This window comes from Homo sapiens, chromosome 1 (assembly GCF_000001405.40).
Source record: "Homo sapiens chromosome 1, GRCh38.p14 Primary Assembly".
Classification (NCBI taxonomy): Eukaryota; Metazoa; Chordata; class Mammalia; order Primates; family Hominidae; genus Homo; species Homo sapiens.
This window is the reverse complement of record NC_000001.11, coordinates 50,300,753-50,321,676: the sequence shown is the minus strand read 5'-3', so window position 1 is coordinate 50,321,676 and position 20,924 is coordinate 50,300,753. Positions and strand designations below refer to the sequence as shown.

The 20,924-nt window shown below is 44.2% G+C and overlaps 1 long non-coding RNA gene across 6 annotated transcripts in view, besides 1 other annotated feature; it reads left to right on the top strand.

Moving 5' to 3' along the window:
- Positions 1-552: 552 nt before the first annotated feature.
- LINC02808 (long intergenic non-protein coding RNA 2808) overlaps positions 553-20,924 on the top strand; it is a 55,193-nt gene continuing 34,821 nt past the window's right edge. For 4 of the 6 annotated variants that reach the window (XR_947322.3, XR_947318.3, XR_947317.3 and 1 more), the window contains exon 1: positions 553-660. This is a non-coding gene — a long non-coding RNA (long intergenic non-protein coding RNA 2808). Of the gene's footprint in view, positions 661-3,270; positions 3,770-4,018; positions 4,465-20,924 lie in introns of those variants that run through there. The other 2 variants (XR_947323.3, XR_001737634.2) reach the window with 2 other exon arrangements.
- Positions 12,482-12,695: a silencer, noted in NCBI's record as "fragment chr1:50774654-50774867 (GRCh37/hg19 assembly coordinates)". NCBI's record gives its function as "represses an EF-1alpha promoter that drives an FKBP-Casp9 reporter gene in an ReSE screen in HepG2 liver carcinoma cells {active_cell/tissue: HepG2}" and the evidence as "EXISTENCE:reporter gene assay evidence [ECO:0000049][PMID:32094911]".

The window sequence follows — 20,924 nt, the reverse complement described above, 5'->3', positions numbered from 1 at the left end:
TGAGAGTGTCAGACGCCATAAAAATGTTATTTTTCCTTCAGGAATGTCAATAATAAAGGTGCTTTTACAGCTATAAGTGTATGGCTGTAAAAGATGAACATCACAGAGCAAATCCAGTTTTAGACTTCCTCATGATTTTGTTCAAGAGGAACAGCCTTTTTTCCCCTGTCACCCAGCACTATCACTAGCTCAGACCTCCAATCACCTTGACAATCCTCTGCTGGAGTAACAAAGCATCGAGTCCCTCTAAGGAGGCATCCTAAAGACATCAGGACACGCCTTCTTCAGCGCCTACCATCTCCTTCTCTAGTTCACCTGTAGCAGATTCCTCCCCTCCACTGTGTTATAACTAACTGTGATCTGCTCAGTGTAAATTGCGCTCTTTAATTAAAGGATCATATTGTATTTAATTTGCACTGAAAAATCCCACCATAGGAGAAATTCTTGGAGGTTATGAGAACATTAATGGTGGTATGTAGAGGCAGTGTCATGTCACAATTAAGGGTGGGGCCTCTGGAGCCAGTCTTCCCAAGGTGAAATCCTAACTTTGCCACTTACTAGCCATGTGAACTTGGGCAAGTGACCTAATCCTCTGCATTTCATCTCTAAATTGGGGAGAATAGAAGCATCTACTTCATGTAGTAGCCAGGATTAGAAGAGGTAATGATTGTGGTGGCTCACTGCAGAGCCTAGCACATGATTAGCACTCAGTAAATGCCAACTATATCACAGGGCAGAGAGAGGAGGGGTCTATTTTAGCCTGTAGTGTGGGGTGTCTGTGAAGGAGGAGAGATTGGAGCTGGACTTCAAGGGTGGTTGACATTGGACAGGAGGATGAAGCAGAGGGAACAGAGAGACATAGCAAAGCTCTTTTGAAGTCCCCGAAGGAGTCGGGAATAATGGGATGGCTGGGTCAAATGGTATTTTTAGTTCTAGATCCTTGAGGAATTGCCACGCTGTCTTCCACAATGGTTGAACTGTTTACAGTCCCACCAACAGTGTAAAAGTGATCCTATTTCTCCACATCCTCTCCAACACCTGTTGTTTCCTGACTTTTTAATGATTGCCATTCTAACTGGTGTGAGATGGTATCTCATTGTGGTTTTGTTTTTCATTTCTCTGATGGCCAGTGATGATGAGCATTTTTTCTTGTGTCTGTTGGCTGCATAAATGTCTTCTTTTGAGAAGTGTCTGTTCATATCGTTTGTCCACTTTTTGATGGGGTTGTTTGATTTTTTCTTGTAAATTTGTTTGAGTTTTTTGTAGATTCTGGATATTTGTCAGATGAGTAGATTGCAAAAATTTTCTCCCATTCTGTAGGTTGCCTGTTCACTCTGATGGTAGTTTCTTTTGCTGTGCAGAAGCTGCTTTTCACGCTACTCACTGGGCCTTGGGCTAGAGGTAGGAAATGAGGAATATTTCAAGGGAGTCATCTTGCTTTTAGCCACCACTGAAAATTGGAATTAATTTCAGCACTTATTTAAAAGTACAGATTTGTAGAATCTGTCCAAACCATCTGAATCAGAATCTGCATGGGCAGGATCTGGGGATCAGTATGTTTAAAAATCTTTAGAAGTGCATCTCATGCAGCCAGCCCATAGGAACACCATGGTGAAGGTCCATATGTTCCTTCCTCTCCTCTTATAAGAACAAGATAAACTGGACAAGGAGGGGATGAGTGATGTGGCTCAGAGGAGCAAAAACTAGAGGGGCTTAGCTTCATTATCTGTGTGATTTGGAGCAAATTGCTTCCCCTCTCAGAGCCTTGTTTCCTCATCTGAAAATTGGGATTTATGATAACTTTTGCAGCATGGGGTTGTTATGAAGAATAATTTATTCCCTTCTCCTATGTTTAGGGCCCCTCTCACAGAGGGAAGTGAAGGCTTCAGGAGGGTGGGGGTTCAGGCATTTTCCTTGTATTCCCCAAAGGGTTGAAGTGGATAGTCCTGTGGATGCTTGTTGACAGGGCATCCCTTCCTCTCCATCTTCATAGTCACGGTGAGGCCTAATTCTCTGCCACCTGGGTATGGCCCCAGCCTCTTTGTCGGTCTTGCCGGACCCTCCCAGAGGCTCTGTAGTGGGGAAGCTTGGCCCTTCCCAGTGGCTCCTTCTAAAAACTCCATGAAGTGGGCACTCTCTGGCTTGGCTACCCACTTGCCTCGGAGGCCTCTACAGTTCTGGGCCAGCCCCCAGCTGGCTGGCTGGGACTTCCTCCTAGCTTGATTTCTTCTAATGTCCCAATCCAGGCCTCCAAAAGAGCTAATGAGGAATAATACAGACTTTGGCCTGGATGTCAACTCCAGAGATTCTTGATTTCTACTTTGTAACAGAGTGGGCTGAGAGGAGGTATTAATATTTGGAATCCTAGTTGAGTGACCCGAAGCAAGTTTTTAGGGGCCTGAGATTCCTCAGTGCCAAATGGAAGATGCTAGGACTTGTAGGATTCTGTGAAGATTAGAAATACCACAGATTCAGTGCCTGAAAAGAGGAGTTGTTCACCTAATGGTAGCAAACCTTGTTACTTGGGTACACACCCTCCCCACTAAGATGGGAGCTCTTTGAGGGCAGGGACTGTGCTTTTGTGTAATATAATAGTTCTAGTTTACTGAGCACTTTCTGTGAATTGGGCTGAACTTTTATGGGGTTAACGATTACACTTACCTCATAGGTTGTGTGTGGGTTAAATGAAGAAGACTGTGCCCATTTTACAGATAAGGCAACTGAGGCTCAACCAGGTTAATGCTCTTTGTTTGCAGTTTTGTCTTTCTCTGTCCCTGCATAGGGCCTCTCACATACTTGAATGACTCTGAGATTGTAGTACCTAGTATGGACATGATGGGCATTTTGGAAGGGACCCAGGCTTCCCTGCCCCTTTCCTTTCCCTGTCCTGGCCTCCCTGGCAGGAAGGGAGGTTGTGAGCTTGTTGCTGGGCTGGCACTGAGGGAGGGCCTCAAAAGTCTGGGAGCCAAGTGCAGGGAAGAGGAAACCCATCAGAGGCCCTACCCTTGGTGGGGGGACATTCCAAAGAGCCAAGGAGCAACCTGGGAGAGGTTGAGTCATATTAAAGTGGACACCTGGGGGGTAGGGTGGGGATGGCAGTGGATATGCACATAAACCCACCTCTGCTCTGATCAGCAGAGTTTGCTGTTAATGGCTTTGGTTGGCAGAGAGGCTTGGTTCTCCCTTTGTCTCTTTCTAATTGTGTCTCTTACTGTTCTATTTTTTCTTGGTTTTCTCCAGTGATGAAGCTATACTTGTTTCATTTTCCAGATGGGGCCACTTGAGGGAAAAGACCTACCCAAGGGCACATAATCTGTACATGAGAGAGAGCCAGATGTAACAGACTGAGTACTGGACTTGGGGTTAAACAGACTGTGAATCTTTCCACCCCATTGGCAAGTTACCTTGGACAAGTTACTTTAATCTCCCTGAGCCTCAATCTGCTCATCTTTAAGATGGAAGTCTTAATAATCTCCTCATAGGGGATTAAACAAGAACATGAGCACACCTTTTCTAACACAGTGTCTGAGATGAGTAGATGTTCAAAATAGGGGTTCATTTGCTTCTTTGCTCTTTGGCTCCCACCTTTTTTTCAACTGCCCCAAATCTCTTTCTGCTCACCTTTTCTTGTTCCATGGGGTCTTTACACCACCGTGTTAGCATGTGTTTCTGCTACATGGTTACTTCTTTTCTAGAAGCAAGTGAGTGAGGGAGGGCCCAGTGGGCAGCTCAGAACTCAGTAATAAAACCACACAGAATCCATCTCAAACAAAACGGCAGATTGGCAAGAGTGACCTGCATGTAGTTTTTGATTTCATTTACAGTATGCAAGGACTGTGGGAGGACAACTGGAGGGGAGTCAGGAAATGGGGGTTCAAGTCCATGGAGTGGCTATGTGATGCTGGGCTGGCCCCTTTTCCTCTCTGGGCCTCAGTTTCCCCATGTGACAATAAGGGGTCAGGCCAGGGAATATTCTGACACTCTGAATTTTTAATTTTATTCTAATTATATGTTTCAGGGAGGAATAACTGGGCCCTGGATAGAATGTGATGAATGTATATTCTTAATGAGAAGTGGAAATAATTTGTGGTTGAGAGCTGTGCCTCAGATCAGAGTGACAGGATACATGGCTAGGCTATATTTTCCAGCAGATTAAGAGCTGCGGCCCAAGACTCTGAAATATGAAGAAAAAAGGAGAAGATGACAGCATATCTTTTTAAAGAAATATTTTCCAGCCAAATGGTGTAGCAGAGGACTTCCAGGAATTTGTTCTTGTTCTGTATCAAAGGTGAAGAGTTCGTAGCCTTCAAGGAAACAAGAAACCATGGGATGGAGTGAAGGAAGGTGGCCTGGAACCAGCTGCTGAGCCTCTCTGAGCCCCAGTTTCCTCGTCTCTAAAATGGGGCTGATCTCCTCTCCCTCAGACTGTTGTTGCAGGAATTAAAACAGGTGTTGAGTGGGAAAGCATCAGTCCCATAGCAAATGGCCCCTGAGTAGTAGGATCTGAGTTCTGGTTCTGGTCCTGCTGGGGTATGGCTGGTTGAGAGGTCAAAGAGGTAATTAAAGGGATTGCCAGCTTCATTATTGGGAGCTGAGATTCCATTTTAGACCAAGAGTGTGACCAAGGTGGTAACCTTAACATTTCATTTCTTCATATTTATTTATTGAGCCGATATTTTTCAAGCATTTGTCATGTACCTAGTATTTTGTTGCTGCTAGGGTAGACAACAGCCCCCCCGCCAGCCCCTGCCACCACAATGTAGAAAGTACCTCCACATCCATAGGCCCCTCTCTACCCTGGTCCGGCCCACCCAGCCACTTCCTGAGTAGAGAATGGGGCACAGCATCCCTAACCTCCCTGTTCCCCATCCAGACAAGCACATCCTATCTATTCTGTCTCCTGATGTCATTCACACTGTCCCTTCTCCTGCAGCACCCCATGTTTGGCTTTCCATGTCACCTTCCTCACTGCCTTTCCAATCCAGGTCCCACATAGCAGCCAGCGTGGCCCTTCTAAAACACAAACCATATCACTCCCTTCTTCAAAACTCTCCAATGGCTCCTTTCTGCCCCTCCTCAGAAAGGAGACAGCCCTTTGCGTGGCTTAGCAGGACCCTCACAACCTGGCCCTGCCCCTTAGCCTCATCACACATAGCGTCTTCAGAGCACACCTTCCCTGGCAGTGCAGTTCATCTGTTTCAAGCTTCTGTGACTTTGCTGGTGGAAAACCACCTAGCCATGCTAACTCCTTTTCTCAGCTATAGAAAGAGTCTTGGAGGAAGGAAGTGACCATCCAAGATCACATGTGAAATGTGATACAGGCCCTTTTTTATCAGTCTGCTCAGGCTGCCATAACAGAATACTACAGGATTAAACCACAGAACTTAATTTTCTCACAGTTCAGGAGGCTGCAAGTCCAAAATGGAGATGCCATCAGGGTTGGTTTCTGGTAGGGCCTCTCTTTCTGGTTTGTAGATGGCACCTTCTGGTTGTGTCCCCACAGGGCATTTTTCTCTGTGGGTGCACACTCCTGGCATCTCTACCTCTTCTTAGAAGGATACTAGTCCTATTGGATTAGGGCCCTATACTTATGACCTCATTTAACCTTAATTAGCCCCTTAAAGGTCCTATTTCCAAGTAAAGAAAGTCACACTGGGGATTAGAGCTTCAACATATGAATTCTAGGGGGACAAAATTAAGTCCATAATACCCTTCTTGCTGGAGATCTGAGGCCAGCACACAGAAAATGGTTCAGGGGCGAGAGCAGCTCATGTGTGTCCTGTGGAGCTAATGTGGCAGGGGTGCGAGGAGGAGCTTGGCGGTTAGAGAAGGAAAGGTAGACGATTGAGACAGCCAGAGATGAGAAGGGGAGGGTCCTGTGGCCTGGAGAGAAGGTAAGAGCAGCCTGTGCAGGGGTGTGGGGCCTATACTAGGAGTGAACACACAGGTTGGGCTATGGAGTGGGGGTAAAGGAGAGGCTGGTGAGTGCAGGTGGGGAGCATGTCTCCTTGTCTGCAGAGCAGGTGGTCACTAAAGGCTGCCTTTACTGTATGAGCTCAGCACCTCTCACCCGGTCCTCACATCACTCTTGAATGTAGGGATGCACACCTCTATTTTTGGGAAGAGGTAAATCCAGTTCCCTAATTGCCTGGCAAGTAGCAGAACCAGGACCTCAATACAGGGGTCCTGATCCCCAGGCTGGGGCCTATTTTCATCTCAGGGTCAGGGGTAGGGTAAGGCAAGTGAAGCACCAAGGAGGCACTTGCACAATCTGGAGGGTGGGGGCCTCCTTAAATTTTGTGCCCTAGGCACCTTGCTCATCTCACCCTAGTCCTGACCCTGACTGGCCTCCTCCTCTGTGGCGACTGCTCTCTTCTCTCTAATCTGTGCAGCAGAGGCAATAGGCTGCAAGTAGCTGCAGTCAGGCTTGGCTTTGCTCCTAACCAAGTGGGAGGCATAAAGTTAATGGCCCTACAGGTCAAATCAATTCAGGTAAAGTTATCACCCTTAGTTTTTCCTGCCCACCTTCATAGCTAGCCATGCAGTGTTATCTGTTCTCACTCATCTTTCTTGGTTCATGTAGCTCCTAGGCCCACTTTCAGCCACTAGCACTTTTTACCCTCTAGCACCTCGGTTTCTCCATCTTCCAAATGTGGATGATAATGATGATTATGCTAGGGATGGTGGTGGTGATAATTCATATGTCATAGGGTTGTATGAGAATAGGTGTATACAGTGAGTATTATAAAAGTGTTAGCAGATATTAATTCCAATTTTGCCTCACTCCTGCTCAGCGTTCAAAGAATTTTCACACCAAGTTCTCACTGTGGCCTGGAAGGTGGGAGGACAAAAATTAGTATACCCCCTTTAAAGAGGAGGCAAGGAGACTCAGAGAGGCCTTGGGACTTGCTCAAGTCACACAATCAAGAGATGGCAGAGCTAGGTCTGGCATAGAACTGAGGCAGTGTTGGTGGAAAGTGGGGGGGACCCCTCTCTCCTCACTCTGCCCCATGGCCTAGGCAGCTGTTGTCAGAGGCCAGGAGGAACTCAGGACTCATAGCTGGAAACTTGAGTTCAAGACCTAGCGGGAATGAAGCAAAATTGCAATTAATAACTGCTAGCACTTTTATAATACTTACTGTATGCATCTATTCTCATAAAACCCTATGACATATGAATTATCACCATCATCACTATCATAATCATTGTTGTTATCCACATTTGGAAGATGAAGAAACTGAGGCGCTAGAGGGTAAGTAGCTTGCCTAAGGCCACATAGCTAATAAATGGTAAACTGAGTTCAAACCCCTACAATCCAGCTCTAGATCTGTGCCCTTAACCACAGTGCTATTTTTTTCCTCTGGGTCTTTTTCTACCTATTTTTGAATGTTAATTAAGAATGGTAAGTTGCTTACTAAGGGCCCGACAATTTACATATTTTTTTATTTGATCATCCTGAGATGATAGAAATTATTCACCCATTTTGCAGATGAAAAAGTTGACACTTAAAAAGGGGCTTATAACTAGTAAGTGGAGGCTCAGGACTCAAGCCTAGCTCTGTCTAGTTCTAAAATAACAACAATAGTAATGACAATAATGATAATATTTATATTAGTAACAGTTACTGGCCAGACATTACACTCAGAGTCAAGAGTGCATTGTCTCTGGTCTCTAATTTGTGTGTGACCTTTTACCTGCTGCTTTTTTTTTTTTTTGAGATGGAGTCTCTCTCTGTCGCCCAGGCTGGAGTGCAGTGGCACGATCTCGCTCACTGCAAGCTCCGCCTCCTGGGTTCACGCCATTCTCCTGCCTCACCCTCCCGAGTAGCTGGGACTACAGGCACCCGCCACCATGCCCAACTAATTTTTTGTATTTTTTTTTTTTTTTTTAGTAGAGGTGGGGTTTCACCGTGTTAGCCAGGATGGTCTCGATTTCCTGACCTCGTGATCTGCCTGCCTCAGCCTCCCAAAGTGCTGGGATTACAGGCATGAGCCACTGCGCCTGGCTTACCCTCTCCTCTTAGGATCTCACATTGTGGTCTCTGGTTCTGAGGCTCCTCCATCCCTGGCAGGTGGTGATTCACCAGGGTTGGCAGTTTGAGGACAGCTGATTCCCTCAGATGGAGGCATTTGTTATCTGTACATTGGAAATTATTTTTGTGTCCCAACCTAATTAGGGAACCAACATAATTAAAAAAAAAAGCCATCCTGGAAAATGAATTGCTCTTCGAAACAATTGTTTAGACAAAACACCATTTGTTCCCAGCTTTTGCTCCCTGCTGAAATGGCGGGCCACTTGTTTTGGTGACAGATGCCTTTTGCCTGGGATTTTGGAGCATGAGGAGCTGAGTGGGGTGAGGGTGGGGACTGGAGCTGGCCCACTCTCAGTTGGCCTCTGAGGGGAAAACCTGAGGTCCCCTGGAGGTGGGATACTCTAATCACTCTGCAACCAAGAGGGCCCCAGGCCTCCCAGGAAAGTCTGACCCGTCAGTCCTGATGTTGCGCTATAGACTTTGATTCAGAACTGAAGTCCAGAGAGGCACAGTGACTTGCCCAAGGCTGCTCAGCAAGATGATGGCAGAACTACAACTAGAATCCACATCCCTTCATTCTTTCCATGGTGGCATGTGGTCTTCTGAATTGGTGATGTTACCTCACCTGACTTTCGTATCTGATATCCAGCCTATCTGCTCATACTTGAGGCTTGTTGGGAATTACTAACTTCTTGTGTCTTGCCACTGACCCTAAGAAATTTGGGTTTCTCCCTGGCACTGTTGCTCTGTGGACTGGAAAGATCCCAGCGGGGCTAGAGCTGGTAATGTGACCCAGCAAACAACTGTTCAGATTCAGGCAGAATAAGAGGGGCCTTCAGTCAAGTATAATGGTTTTTGTCTTGGTCATGTGACTTCCTTTCTTGTGTGTAATTAGTGGGCACCTCCATTCACTTGTGCGTTTTGATCTCAGATTCCTCATTTATAAAATGGGGCAGTATTCTCTGTTCTCCATATTCATTTACAAGGGCACTGTGAGAATCAATTATGTGAAGAAATAAAAAGTACTTGTGAACTAAAGAGTGATATAAAAATATAATTAACAATAATGGCCAATATTTACCAAGTACTTTATATGTGTGTATTAGTTGAAGTAAAGTGCTTGCTGCTGGAGCACACAACCTTCAAACCCCAGCGGATTAAACAACAAAAGTTTATGTCTTAACCACCATAGTCAGTGGTAGACCAAGTGACTCTTGGGAACAGATCTTTTCTAACTTTACCTTCCTGGATTCTTTCACTTTCACCCTCATTGACAAGGGCAAGAGAAAAGTATGGAAGATTGTACGGGAGGTTTAGGGGCCAAGGCTGGAAGTGGCATGCCTCACTTCTGCCCACATTCTACTGACCAGAATTCAGACTCTTGGTTCCTTAAGGCAACTGTGTGCCTAGGAGGAAAATAAACCTATTTGGTGGACACATGGCATTTTATCAGCTACAATGTGCTATGCAACTTGTTAGTGCTCATAACAATTCTCTAAATGATTTTATTATCCTTTTTTAAAAATCTGGGGAAAGAAAGGCTCAGAGAGATCAAAAGACTTAGAGAAGATGCCAAATTAATGGAAGGGTGGTGGTCTGAATTCAGTCTGTCCAGCTACGCAGTCCCTGCTTTTTTTTTTTGTTTGTTTAAGAAAGAACTTCTAGTTGTAGGTGGAACAGTTTAATTCATTTTATTTGTTGAATGCCTACTATACACTGAACACTGTGCTATCTCCTGAACAATGTCATGATGATTCCTTTTCCTCTTCCCCATGCTGAGATCACATTTTTTCTTCAGCAATTTTATTCTTTCTAATCTTTAAGGTTCAACTTCAGACTGTTGCTTTAAGGAAGTTTCCCCTGTTTACCCACAAAGAAGCACTCTTTTTAAAACCTCTCTTGTGCTAGCCTCAATTCCAGGAAATAGTGTGAAGGACAGAGTGAAGTGCAGAGTAGATCATTGCCCCTGCCCCCAGCTAGGAATTGACACCTAAAGTTTACTGCTTGAAAAAAAAAGGCACAAAGTCTTTACATTTTAAACAGACTAAGAGTCATGGTGCCCACCTTCTCACAGGACTGGCTGAGGGGCTCCTGGTTTTAAAAACCAGCCCTACTCTGACCTCTTCTCCCTAGAAGAGGAGAAAAAGCTGTTACCTCCTCTCCCATTTCCCTGGGAGAAACAAAGGATTGAACTTTTTCCCAAGGAAAAGTAGACTGACATTGTGTTTCTTCATTTAACTACCTGGCCTTGTTATGCCATAGCAAACGAAGAGCATAGAGAGAAAAGGGTGGTGGTTTAGCCAGACAAAAGGGGCAAAGACTTTCTTCCTCACAGAGATTGGATGAGATTAGAGACCTTGTACAGTGAGGGGCATCAGGGCACTGGGTTTGTGAGACTATGACAGTGAGTGTCAGTCAATGATAAGGCAAATCTCAGTTGGGATTGGCACTGCATAGTAAGCTGGTCAGGGAGGGCACCCATCAGTAGGGTTTATGGGGGTCTCCCCTGCACCTGTAAGGAGCCCACAGACAAAAAATCAGGTCAGCAGCTAGGGTACAATTAGGAGAGGACTGTCTCACTGTGAGCTGTTACACCAGAAGTCTGCTACCTCCTGTCTCTCTCCTCACACCCCAATGCCAGAGCAGTGGAAGAGGGAGGAGGTGAGTGGGAGCAGATGCTGGAACTGGATTAGGGATGGTGAGGGGAGGAGGCAGGGAATAAGAGGGGCTGGGTAGGAAGAGCTTTGAATCAAACGTAAGAATACAAAATATAATTAAATAGGATTGAATCCTAAAGAACCCAGTAAAACTGTTCTAGTAAGTGGAAGTGACTGAAAAGTTATGGCCTCAGATTGAGTTTGTTAAGGCAGTCTGCTACCCAGCAGGAAAAGGGAGGGTTCAACAGAGCACAGTTGGTAGCAATTATTGGAAAAATAAAACTATTCTGGGTTTATAACCCAGTGAGCTGAAACTCCACATTAAATCAGTTTCATACTCATCCATTTAGCTACTATTTGCTGAACTTCTAGTCTTTGCCAGACAGTGCTCTTGGCACTGGTGATTCCAAGGAGCTTACCCTCGTGGGGAGACAGACAAGTGAAAAAAGTAACTGTTCAGCGTGATAAATGCTATGAGAAAGGATGGTAGAGGAGAGTGGGGCACGCAGGAGAGAAAGACAGTCATGGTTGTGTGTGTCAGGAGAGAGGTTGGAAAGGTTTTCCAGGGTCTTGAAGAATGAGTTGGGGTTGACAAAGCAGCTGCATTGGGGAATGGTGTCCATGTGCAAATGCACAGATGCAGGAGAGATCAGGGCACACTAGAGAAACTGTGAGTAGTTTGAGCAATGCATAAGGGGTGTTCATTGTTATAATTTATTTTTATTTTATTTTTTGAGACAGGGTCTCACTCTGTTGCCCAGGCTGGAGTGCAGTGGTGTGATCTCGGCTCACTGCAATCTCTGTCTACTAGGTTCAAGTGATTCTCATGTTTCAGCCTCCTGAATAGCTGGGATTACAGGTGTGCACTAGCACACCCAGCTAATTTTAGTATTTTTAGTAGAGATGGGGTTTTACCATGTTTGCCAGGCTGGTCTCAAATTCCTGGCCTCAAGTGATCCACCCACAATGGCCTCCCAAAGTGTTGGGATTACATACGTGAGCCACGGAGCTCAGCCCATCATTATCATTTATGTCTCTTATTCTCATTTTATCTCCTTTCCCCAACTAGACCGTAAACTCCTTCAGGGAAAAGTAATGTCAAATCTCAATTTCATCCCCTAATGACCAGCATTAGGTGCACAAATGTAATACTGAAATGTTTTTCACTGAGGGTAATCCAGCAGAAGTTGCATGATTCTCAGGGCTTGGGAATCCTGCAGAGGAAGGGAGGTAGATGGGTTTGTATGTGGCTTAGGACAAGTTAGCTTCCTGTTTAGGCCTTAGTTTTTTCTTCTGTGTATAAGAAAGTTGACCAGATGATCTCTAGAGTTAGTTTTAAAATAGTTTAACTTTAGAATTTGTGAGACAAAAGCAGTGGATTGGAAATCAGGAGATTTGGTCCCTATGTCCAGCTCTGCCGTTGACTAAGTGTGTTACCTACCCTTTCTCCTTTCCCTTCTAAGCCCAAGTTCCCTATCTATAAGATGCAGGAGCAGCACACTATAGCTGTAAAGCCCCTTTAACTCCAACCTTCTATGCCTTCCACACTGAATTCAGTTGACCTTGTCCAGGACTGGTGTCCTTGCTCAGGAAGGCCTCACTTTCCTCAATATTCTTCAGACACATTTTCAAACTCTATGGGGTAAGGGAGGGAGATTAGGGTCAGGAGAGGGTATTTGAGTGAGGCAATGAATATTTATAACAGACGCTCCTACCAGAGGACACATTAAGTCTTGCAGCATAACAAAACTGAATTACCATGAAATAAACTTTCTTAATTAAACCAATTAAATTTCTTCCCAGTATGTAATTTAGAAACTCTGATAAACCCTGGTTGAAAAGGTTTGTTTTAGCCTTAAGCTGGCTGAGGAAACAGGAACATCTGGTTGGTGGTGGAAAGGCCTGTTTAGGCTCCCGGCCTTGGGGGCAGCACCATGGAGCTATCCATGGTTCTGAAACAGCCTCTGCCTCACGGCCTCGATAAAGGACACAGGCAGGCCAGGGCCCGGTGGTGCTTATGAGATGTGTTATTTGAGGACAGTGCCTTCCACTTAAGGCATGGTGCACTTTTCTGTTTCCTATGCGTGACAGCCGCCACTCAGAAGTTAATCATGTATCCTTCTCCACTACCCCAGATCTACTAGAGTTTGAAAAGATGACATGAATTTTCTTATGCTTATAAAATCCTAGACTCTTAGAGCTAGAAGGGATGGCCTGGTTCACCCCTCTCATAAATGTAAGGAACCTGGGTTTCAGAGAGGTAAAAATGACTTGACCCAAGGTCACACAACTTGTAAGTGACAGAACTGAGATTCAAGCCCAAGTCTCTGACTAAATTCAGATCTGTTTTCACTAGGAGGTTCCTATAGTCAGTGAAGCCTTTCAGGGTAGGGGCCATGTCTTGTTCACCTGTATTTTCATCTGGAATCTATTTTAGTGCTTGGAATGCTTTTTTGAACAAATGAATACATGCATGCTGTTTTTATTCTTCCATAGTCCTTAGTACCATAGTGCAATTGGTACTCAATAACAGCCATGCCAGAGTACCAATTACACTGCTCAATCCTTTGTAAGATTATTATAATTAACAAAGTGCTTTTACTTGTTATTTAAATTGATTCTCACAATAATCTTAGAGACAGGTTGTGTTAGTCCCATTTTACACTAAAGGAAACTGAGGGTCAGGGGTCTAGTGGCTTGTCCAAGGTCACATAGAGAGTCAACGAAGAAGCTAGGGGTAGGACCCAACTCTCTTGATTCCCATTCATGAACCCAAGGCTGAAATTAGCACATAGGGAGGTAAAATAGAAGGGTAATGCATGGCTTCTGCTCTGAAGCTACAATAGAGTTGTGGCAATAAGCGACGCAATCTAATGTGCGGAAACAAGGTACAAGTACTCAGGAAAAAGGTAATAGAATGAGGTGGTGTGAGTTAAAGTCTGTTGAATGGCTCAGATAGTCACTGCTTTCACTCCAAAGACCTGTCGGGGTTTAGAGAAGTTCTCTGAGAGCAGGTAGGAGCTGACCTGTCACTGGAAGGTGAGTGAGATTTTGATAGGTAGAGGAAACATAATTCTCAAGAAATCCAACAACTTTAATGCTGGAAGAACCTTAGAGAGTGATTGCTCCTCCTACTACTCCTTCATTTTATAGACAGGAAAACAGAAATCTAAATAAATGAGTGACTTGTATAATACTATGAAGTCATTTATGGCAGGCGTTTGTGTGTAGACACTGGGGCCACAGGATGGGTAAGATAGTGTCTCTGCTCTCAGAGGGTTCTCAGGCTAGTAGAAGGTGGGACATGGAAATAAGCAGGTACATTCAAGTGTCACAGGCAATGATGGAGTCTATGTGGGACTCAGAGTAGTTGCAAAGGAGGGGCACCCATTTATAGAGTAGTGCATTTGAAGTTCAAAAGACTTCATTTCAACTAATCAAAGTTAGTCCAGGTCAGGAACCAAAAGCTAAAATCCATTTCCCAACTTCTGAAACCACTGACCAGAAGGAATTTCTGCCTAGGAGTGGCTTGAGCTGGAACACTGGAGAGAAGCAATTAGAAGGGCTGAGTTTCAGTTCTGGCTTCGTCTCTTTCTGGTTGTGTAGCGTTGCACTTGCTGCTCCTGCTTCTAGGACTATCAGTTGTCCCATAAGATGAAGGATTACTTTTCCTTTTTCCAGGGTTGCAGGGATAATCAAGAAATATCTGAGGAAAAATGTTTTGTCAATTATAAACTAATAAAGCAATATATATGTTAATTGTTTTTATTCCTCCTATATATAGAGCTTGATACAGAAGAAAATGTCCTGGGTTATATTTGAGTCACGTCTCTGGGCTCCTGATTTCTCTTCTATGGGATGGGAGATACCTGTCCTATCTACCATACAGAAATTGTATAGAATAAAAAAATACCCATGATGATAAAATGATAGGTGTAAACAAACAAAAGTGTAGTTGTATTCCTGAATGAGGATAAGTGATTGAGCATAAAGAAAACTGGACTTTATTATTGTAAACCCACATTTGTACCCTGAATCCATTTACAAAGAGAATTCACAGCCATTATCCTATCCAATTCCCTCAACAGTTCTGTGAGCTAGGGATGAGTTTATCACAGATGATTAGCCTCAACTCACAGATGAGAAAACTGAGACTCTGAGAAAGTGATAAGCCCAGAAGCTGAATCTTGGTCACTTTACCCCATTTCTTTCCAGCCAACCCTCAGTTTCTTAGTGCCCAGAACTCTGTCTTCATGCAAGTCTGTTTGGAAGACAGGCCAAAGTCATGTTCTCTTGGACTTCCCCCTTGCTATGGGGGCAGTTCTGGTCTTCTCCTCCATTCAGTACTTAGCCTTGGAAGTGCTTGATAAAATCCCAGAGATGGGTTAGGATGCCCATCTCTGCATGGGGTGCCCCTGCAAACAAACACCAAGCCACAGGTACTTTGTTATGTGTTCAAAGGACTCCAGATGGAAGACTAATACAGCTGGCATACTCCCTAGGCATGTTTTCAGCTGCTCAGGCTGCCTTAGCCAAGACATGCTATCCTTTGTTCATAATCTCAGTTAAGGGCTGTCCTCCCCATAATTCAGGCAGGAACCTAGGGGGCTATTGTCCACTTCCCTGTTATGTCTCTCCTTTGCTGAAACCTTCCAGTAGCTGGATTAAGCCAGTGTCCCGTGTGTGCTCCTTTCTCCATAAAGATTCTAAAAAAGAGAGAGGAAGAGAATCATTCTATTTTGGGATCTGGGGACATAATTGAATTGTGTTTAGTTGGAAGGTTTACTGCAGTACTCTTCCACAGTGTAGTCATGGATATTTGGGAGACTGTTAAGCTGGAGCCTCCAATGGGACCTGAATATTCAGAATCCAGGAAGTAGGGCTTTGCTGAGTTTTCTCTCACTAGGAGCAGGATCTGGTTGTGAATAACAGATCTAATTAGGAAGGGAAGGGATTATCAGGACCAGAGCTGGCCCAGGCACAGGAAACACTAATGCCTGCCTCCTGAGGAGCAATTATTGGCAGCTGATTATCCTTCAAGGGCAACCCAGGTACCTCCCCTTTCAGGATGCCTTCCTGATCCCTGGGTTGGGTTTGGGAAAATCTTTTCTGGGCTTCGAGAGCCCTAGGCTTCTCTCTGTCCAGCACTGATTACACTGTTGTTATTGTCTGTGTTGGTGACTACTATTATGTCCTTCCTTTAGACTGTGAGCTCCCTCAATGCTGGGTCTGGTTCAGCTTTTTATTCAGCTTCCATCACAGGGTTTGGCAAACAGTAGGTTTTGCACTGTGGTTAGGAGCGTGGGCTCTGGACCCAGACTGCCTGTGTTTGAATGTCAACTCTACTACTCGCTAGCCTGAAGACCCAAGGCCAGTCACTTAACTTCTCTGGGTCTTAATTTCCTCATTTGTAAACTGAGAGTAATAATAGTAATTACCTCATGGGTTTGTTACAAGGGCTAAAAATGTAAAGCACTTAGAACAGCATCTAGCACAGAGTGCTACATAGGGGCTGCATGTTATTATTTGACTCCTGATTTTGTATTTTGGATCTTCACTTAAAGCAGGGGCACCTGTACCAGGAGGTATGATTCCATGCCTCCTTTCCTCCTAGCCCACCTGTGAGAATGAGTTCCAAGGGTCTCAGTCTGAAGGGCAGGACACATCAAGGAAGATTGCATGGGATAAGGCATAATTGTTTTGCATAATTTGACCCTCGATGAAATCTCGGTGTTCTGTGACATGAAATGCAATTAGACTGACTTCTCCCTTCTCTACTCCTAATCTGCTCATGTGACACCCATCACCTGGGTCCAGCAGATGCTGAGAGGCATTAGTGTTCTATATACAGTAATAGGAAGATCTTCAGAAGACTGACGTGGACCGGCCTTGTCTGGTCTGTATTGAGTGGCATGGGTGGGAGTTAAGGTTGGAAGGCAGCTAGTGGAGATGGGTGTGCAGAAAGTACTAGAATGTTTCCTGCTGGAAAAGCTATGAGTAGGATAGTCCTATTGGATATGTCTAAGGGGCACAACGTCTGGATAATGTAAGTGTTTTTTTTAAAAAAAAAAACAAAACACAACACACTTTCAATCAGTCTGGTGAAGGAAGAGCTCTGGGATGGTATCTAGAATCAGGCAGTTTTGGCTCTGCCACTTACCAGCTGTATGGCCTTTGGGAAATTCATTTGTCATTTTAAGCCTCAGTTTCCCCTTGTAAAAAACAAGGGCCTTAAAATCAGTGTTATTAAACTAAGGCATATTCCCAAACTTTCATTAATTTAGCCCAAAGTGGGCCCTAGGAATCTATGCTTCTAACAAGCAATAAGGTGATTGTGTCCGTGGACTACACTCCATGTGCACAAATTGCTTCTCTCTGTATCTAATACGTTATGGGCCTATAATTTCCTCAAGATAAAGTTATAAATCTGACCACATCAAGCCCCTGTATAAACTTTTCAATGACCCCTGTTTTTTTTAAGACAAAGTCCTGCCTTCTTAGCCTGGTGTGGGCTATATAGGGGTTACATGTTATTATTTGACTGCTGATTTTGTATTTATATAAACATATAATTATTTATTTACATAAATTAATAATTATGTTCCTAATTCCATCTCTAGATTGATCTCTCTCACACCATTGTCATCTTCCACTTCTCACTCTAGCCATACAAGGACTGTTTGCAGCATATAGATTTCCCACCTCCACACCTCCTCTCAAGCTGTTCTTCCTTTATGGTGCATTCTCTCATTTTCTTTTTCTTTTTTTTTTAAAGGCCTTGCTCAGTCTAGTCACAGGTGTTCTGGTCTCTGAGCTACAGAAGTACTGACACTTGGTACCACTCTCTGGTCATGGATAGGTTGCTGTGTATGGTTATTTATCTTGTCTCAGCTTTATCTTGTTCCCTCCTTCATTAGCCTATAAACTCTCAGAGAGCAGGTACTCTTCCATGTCTTCCTATCCCCTGCTTTCAATTGGCAGAACATCATAGACATCCAGTAAGTGTCTAAAGATCAGTGACACCTTAAAGAGATACCCTCTCTCTTAGGTGGTGAGTTGGCTGGTTGGCCCATCTTGGGGTGAATCACATTTGTTTCCTAGCTAAGAAACACACTGTAACAGCCAATTACAGAATAAAAGAAAATTTCATGACAGCAATATTGTTTTCACTTATAAACCCATCATCCTGAAATTATCACCAATTACATATTGAGTATCCTTTATCTGAAATGCTTGGGACCAGAAGTGTTTTGGATTTCAAATTTTTTCAGGTTTTGGAATATTAGCAGTTATAATTGAGCATCTCAAATCCAGAAAGCTCCAATGAGCATTTCCTATGAGTGTCCATCACATTAGCACTCAAAAAGTTTCGGATTTTGGAGGACTTTGTATTTTGTATTTTTGGATTTGGATGCTTAACCTGTAATGAGAACAACAAACTATTTTATAATTTGTTAAAACTGGAAACAATTCGTAGCTATTATTTAAGCTTTAAGGGAAAGTGTGCTTATGCTTTTGTGTATCTGTTTAATAAACATAACATGGTTAAGGGGTGTCCACGAAGGTGAGTTTATGGAGCACCTCTGGGCTCTGAAATCCCCACCCAGAAGTCTTTTGCCCTCCATTTCTGCCTCCCTCAACCTAGACCACATGGCTGTCATTAATTCTGCATGCTAACAGCAGTGTCATCTAAATAAATAATTATGATTTTTCAATTAAGGATCCTAGGACCTCTGGGACCTAAGCTGACCCAGACATTGTGAGGCCCTATGTCCCCAAGAGGCCATGAGGCAGCAGCAGCTCTGCCCTTCACTAAACCAGCAGACCCTCTCAAATTAGAGGAGCTCTTCAGGACCTGAGGCTGTTGGCCCTAATTGCCCACTACTCACTGCCAATCACTGTGATTCAAAGACAGCAGCTCTGGGCCAGGAGTCAGGTGACTTATTATTTAATCCCAAATTCATTTATTGTCTGCTAGACTAGTGATTCTCAAACTCGAATGTGACTATTCAACACCTGGGGATCTTGCTAAAATGCAGATTCTGATTCACTAAGTCCAGGGTGGGGTCTTGAATTTTGCATTTCTAATGAGCTCCCAGGTGATGCTGATGCTGCTGATTCATGGGCTACACTTTCAGTGGCAAGGAGTTAAACCATGAGCTTTCCCCTGTGAGCTCATTTTCTTTATCTTCAATATGAAGGTGCTAGACTTGGTGATCTCTGAGGAACAGTCCAGCTCTGATTTTCTGTGATTCCAAATAACTAATAATCACAGCTTTATACTCAATATTTATAGCAGTGATATTCGTAATAGTCCAAATATAGAAACAACCCAAATGTCCGTCAAACTGTCAAAAGGATAAACAAATTATGGTATACCCATACAGTGAAAAACTACTCATCAATAAAAAGGAATGAATTACTGATACATTTAACCACATGGATGAATCTCAGGTGTATTATGCTAAGTGAAAGAAGAAAGGTAAAAAAGACTCCAGAATGCGTTATTCCATTTATATGAAATTCTAGAAGAGGAAAACTGTAAGGACAGAAATCAGATTGGTGGCTGCTAGGGGCCATGAGTCAGGGGGTGGGTATTGCTTGAGAAGGGGCACAAGGAAAGCTTTTAGGATGATGGAATTGTTAATATCATGATTTTGATGGTGACTACATGACTATATACATTTGCTAAAAGTCATCAAATTATACACTTAAAATTGGTGAATTTTATGGTATATGGATTATCCTCAAGAAAGCTGATCAACCCCCCCCCAAAACAGCAAAAAAATAGCTACTGTTTATTGAGTACCCACTATATGCCAGGCATTTTACAGAGATTGTTGCAACAATGCTTTGAGGTAGGATTATCCCCAGATTATGAAACCCAAGCTCAGAGGAAAACTGACCACTTTCAAAGAAGAGGTAGGATTTGAACCAGCTAATATTTGATGATTCCAAGACCTGGTCTACTTCTACATGGCTGTCTTGGCTCCCAGAATTCTCAGTCCCTTCTTGCAAGAGCAGTAAGTTCTAAAAGTATCCCGGGGTCATGCCTGGCTCCTGGCCTATCTGCCAGGGAATTTCACTTTAAGAGGTATTGTTATTATGTATTTCTTTGTTGAGCATGGAACCTGTTCTGTTTAGAACATGCCCCTTAAGTGATATCAGCAGCCTGGTGAGTGCAATAAATCATCAATACATACGTTGTTTTATATCATTTTTAATTAAACAAGTAAAAGTCTTATGGAGAGCGCAGAGTGTTTGTGGGGAGTGGGGATAGCAGGCCTAGTGAGAGGTGGAGCTTCTTGGTAAAGAGGTGGGGGCAGCACAGCCCCACTGGCCCTTCTCAACGTGTCTGGGGAGGCTGGAATTATTATGTTCTCCATTTTGCAGATTAAGAATCTGAGGCTCATAGGGGTTGGGTGACTTCTCTGAGGTCACACACCTTGTTAGTGGCAGAGATCAGGCTTGAAACCTATTCCTGTATACTCCCAGTTCTGTGCCTTTTCTCTTTTCCCACAAGCAAGGAGAAGAGCCCTGTCCTTAAAAAGTTTATAAGAATACAGCAGCTGCTCACAGCCATAAAAGAACACTGCAAAACCGGCAATAATTCTGTGGACTCCGTGGAGTGGCTCAGCATAAAAACAATTTAGAAAGATATGAGTCAGGGAGGGTAGAATCAGTCAAGGACTTCTTGGAGGAGGCGAGTCTTGTGTTAGGTTAGCCATGGAGGTTAGGTACAGCTAGGGCAAGCAGAGGTGGGAGAATTGTATTTGTACGCCCAGGTGTAGGTCCCTTAGAGTCACGGAGAGAAAACTTGCATGGTGCTAGGCTTGGACCTAGTTGAGATGGCTGGAAAAGGCCTCTGTTATTCTTCTCCCTCTGTTTCTATGCAGGGGGCCTGTTTGAGAAGGGGAGGCCTCAGTCACCTATGGCAGAAAGGCCAGGGAAGAGTGTCCTCAGGGCCTTCCAAATGGCCTTGTCCCTCAGCATCACCAAGGATGGCCAGCAGGTCTCTCTACTCAGGGCAAGGCACCAGATCCTGTTGTCCCATGGCTCCAGATGAGCTGCTGCATCTTATTCAGCCACCATCTCCACTCTGACATCACCCCCATCCAATACCAGGCAACCCTTCTGGGCACCCAGGAGAGCTGTTGGCTCTAGTAGCTGGTGCAGGATTAGTAATTGAGGCTCTCTCCTGAGCCCTGGGTCCATCAGGGACTAGTCCTCCTGAT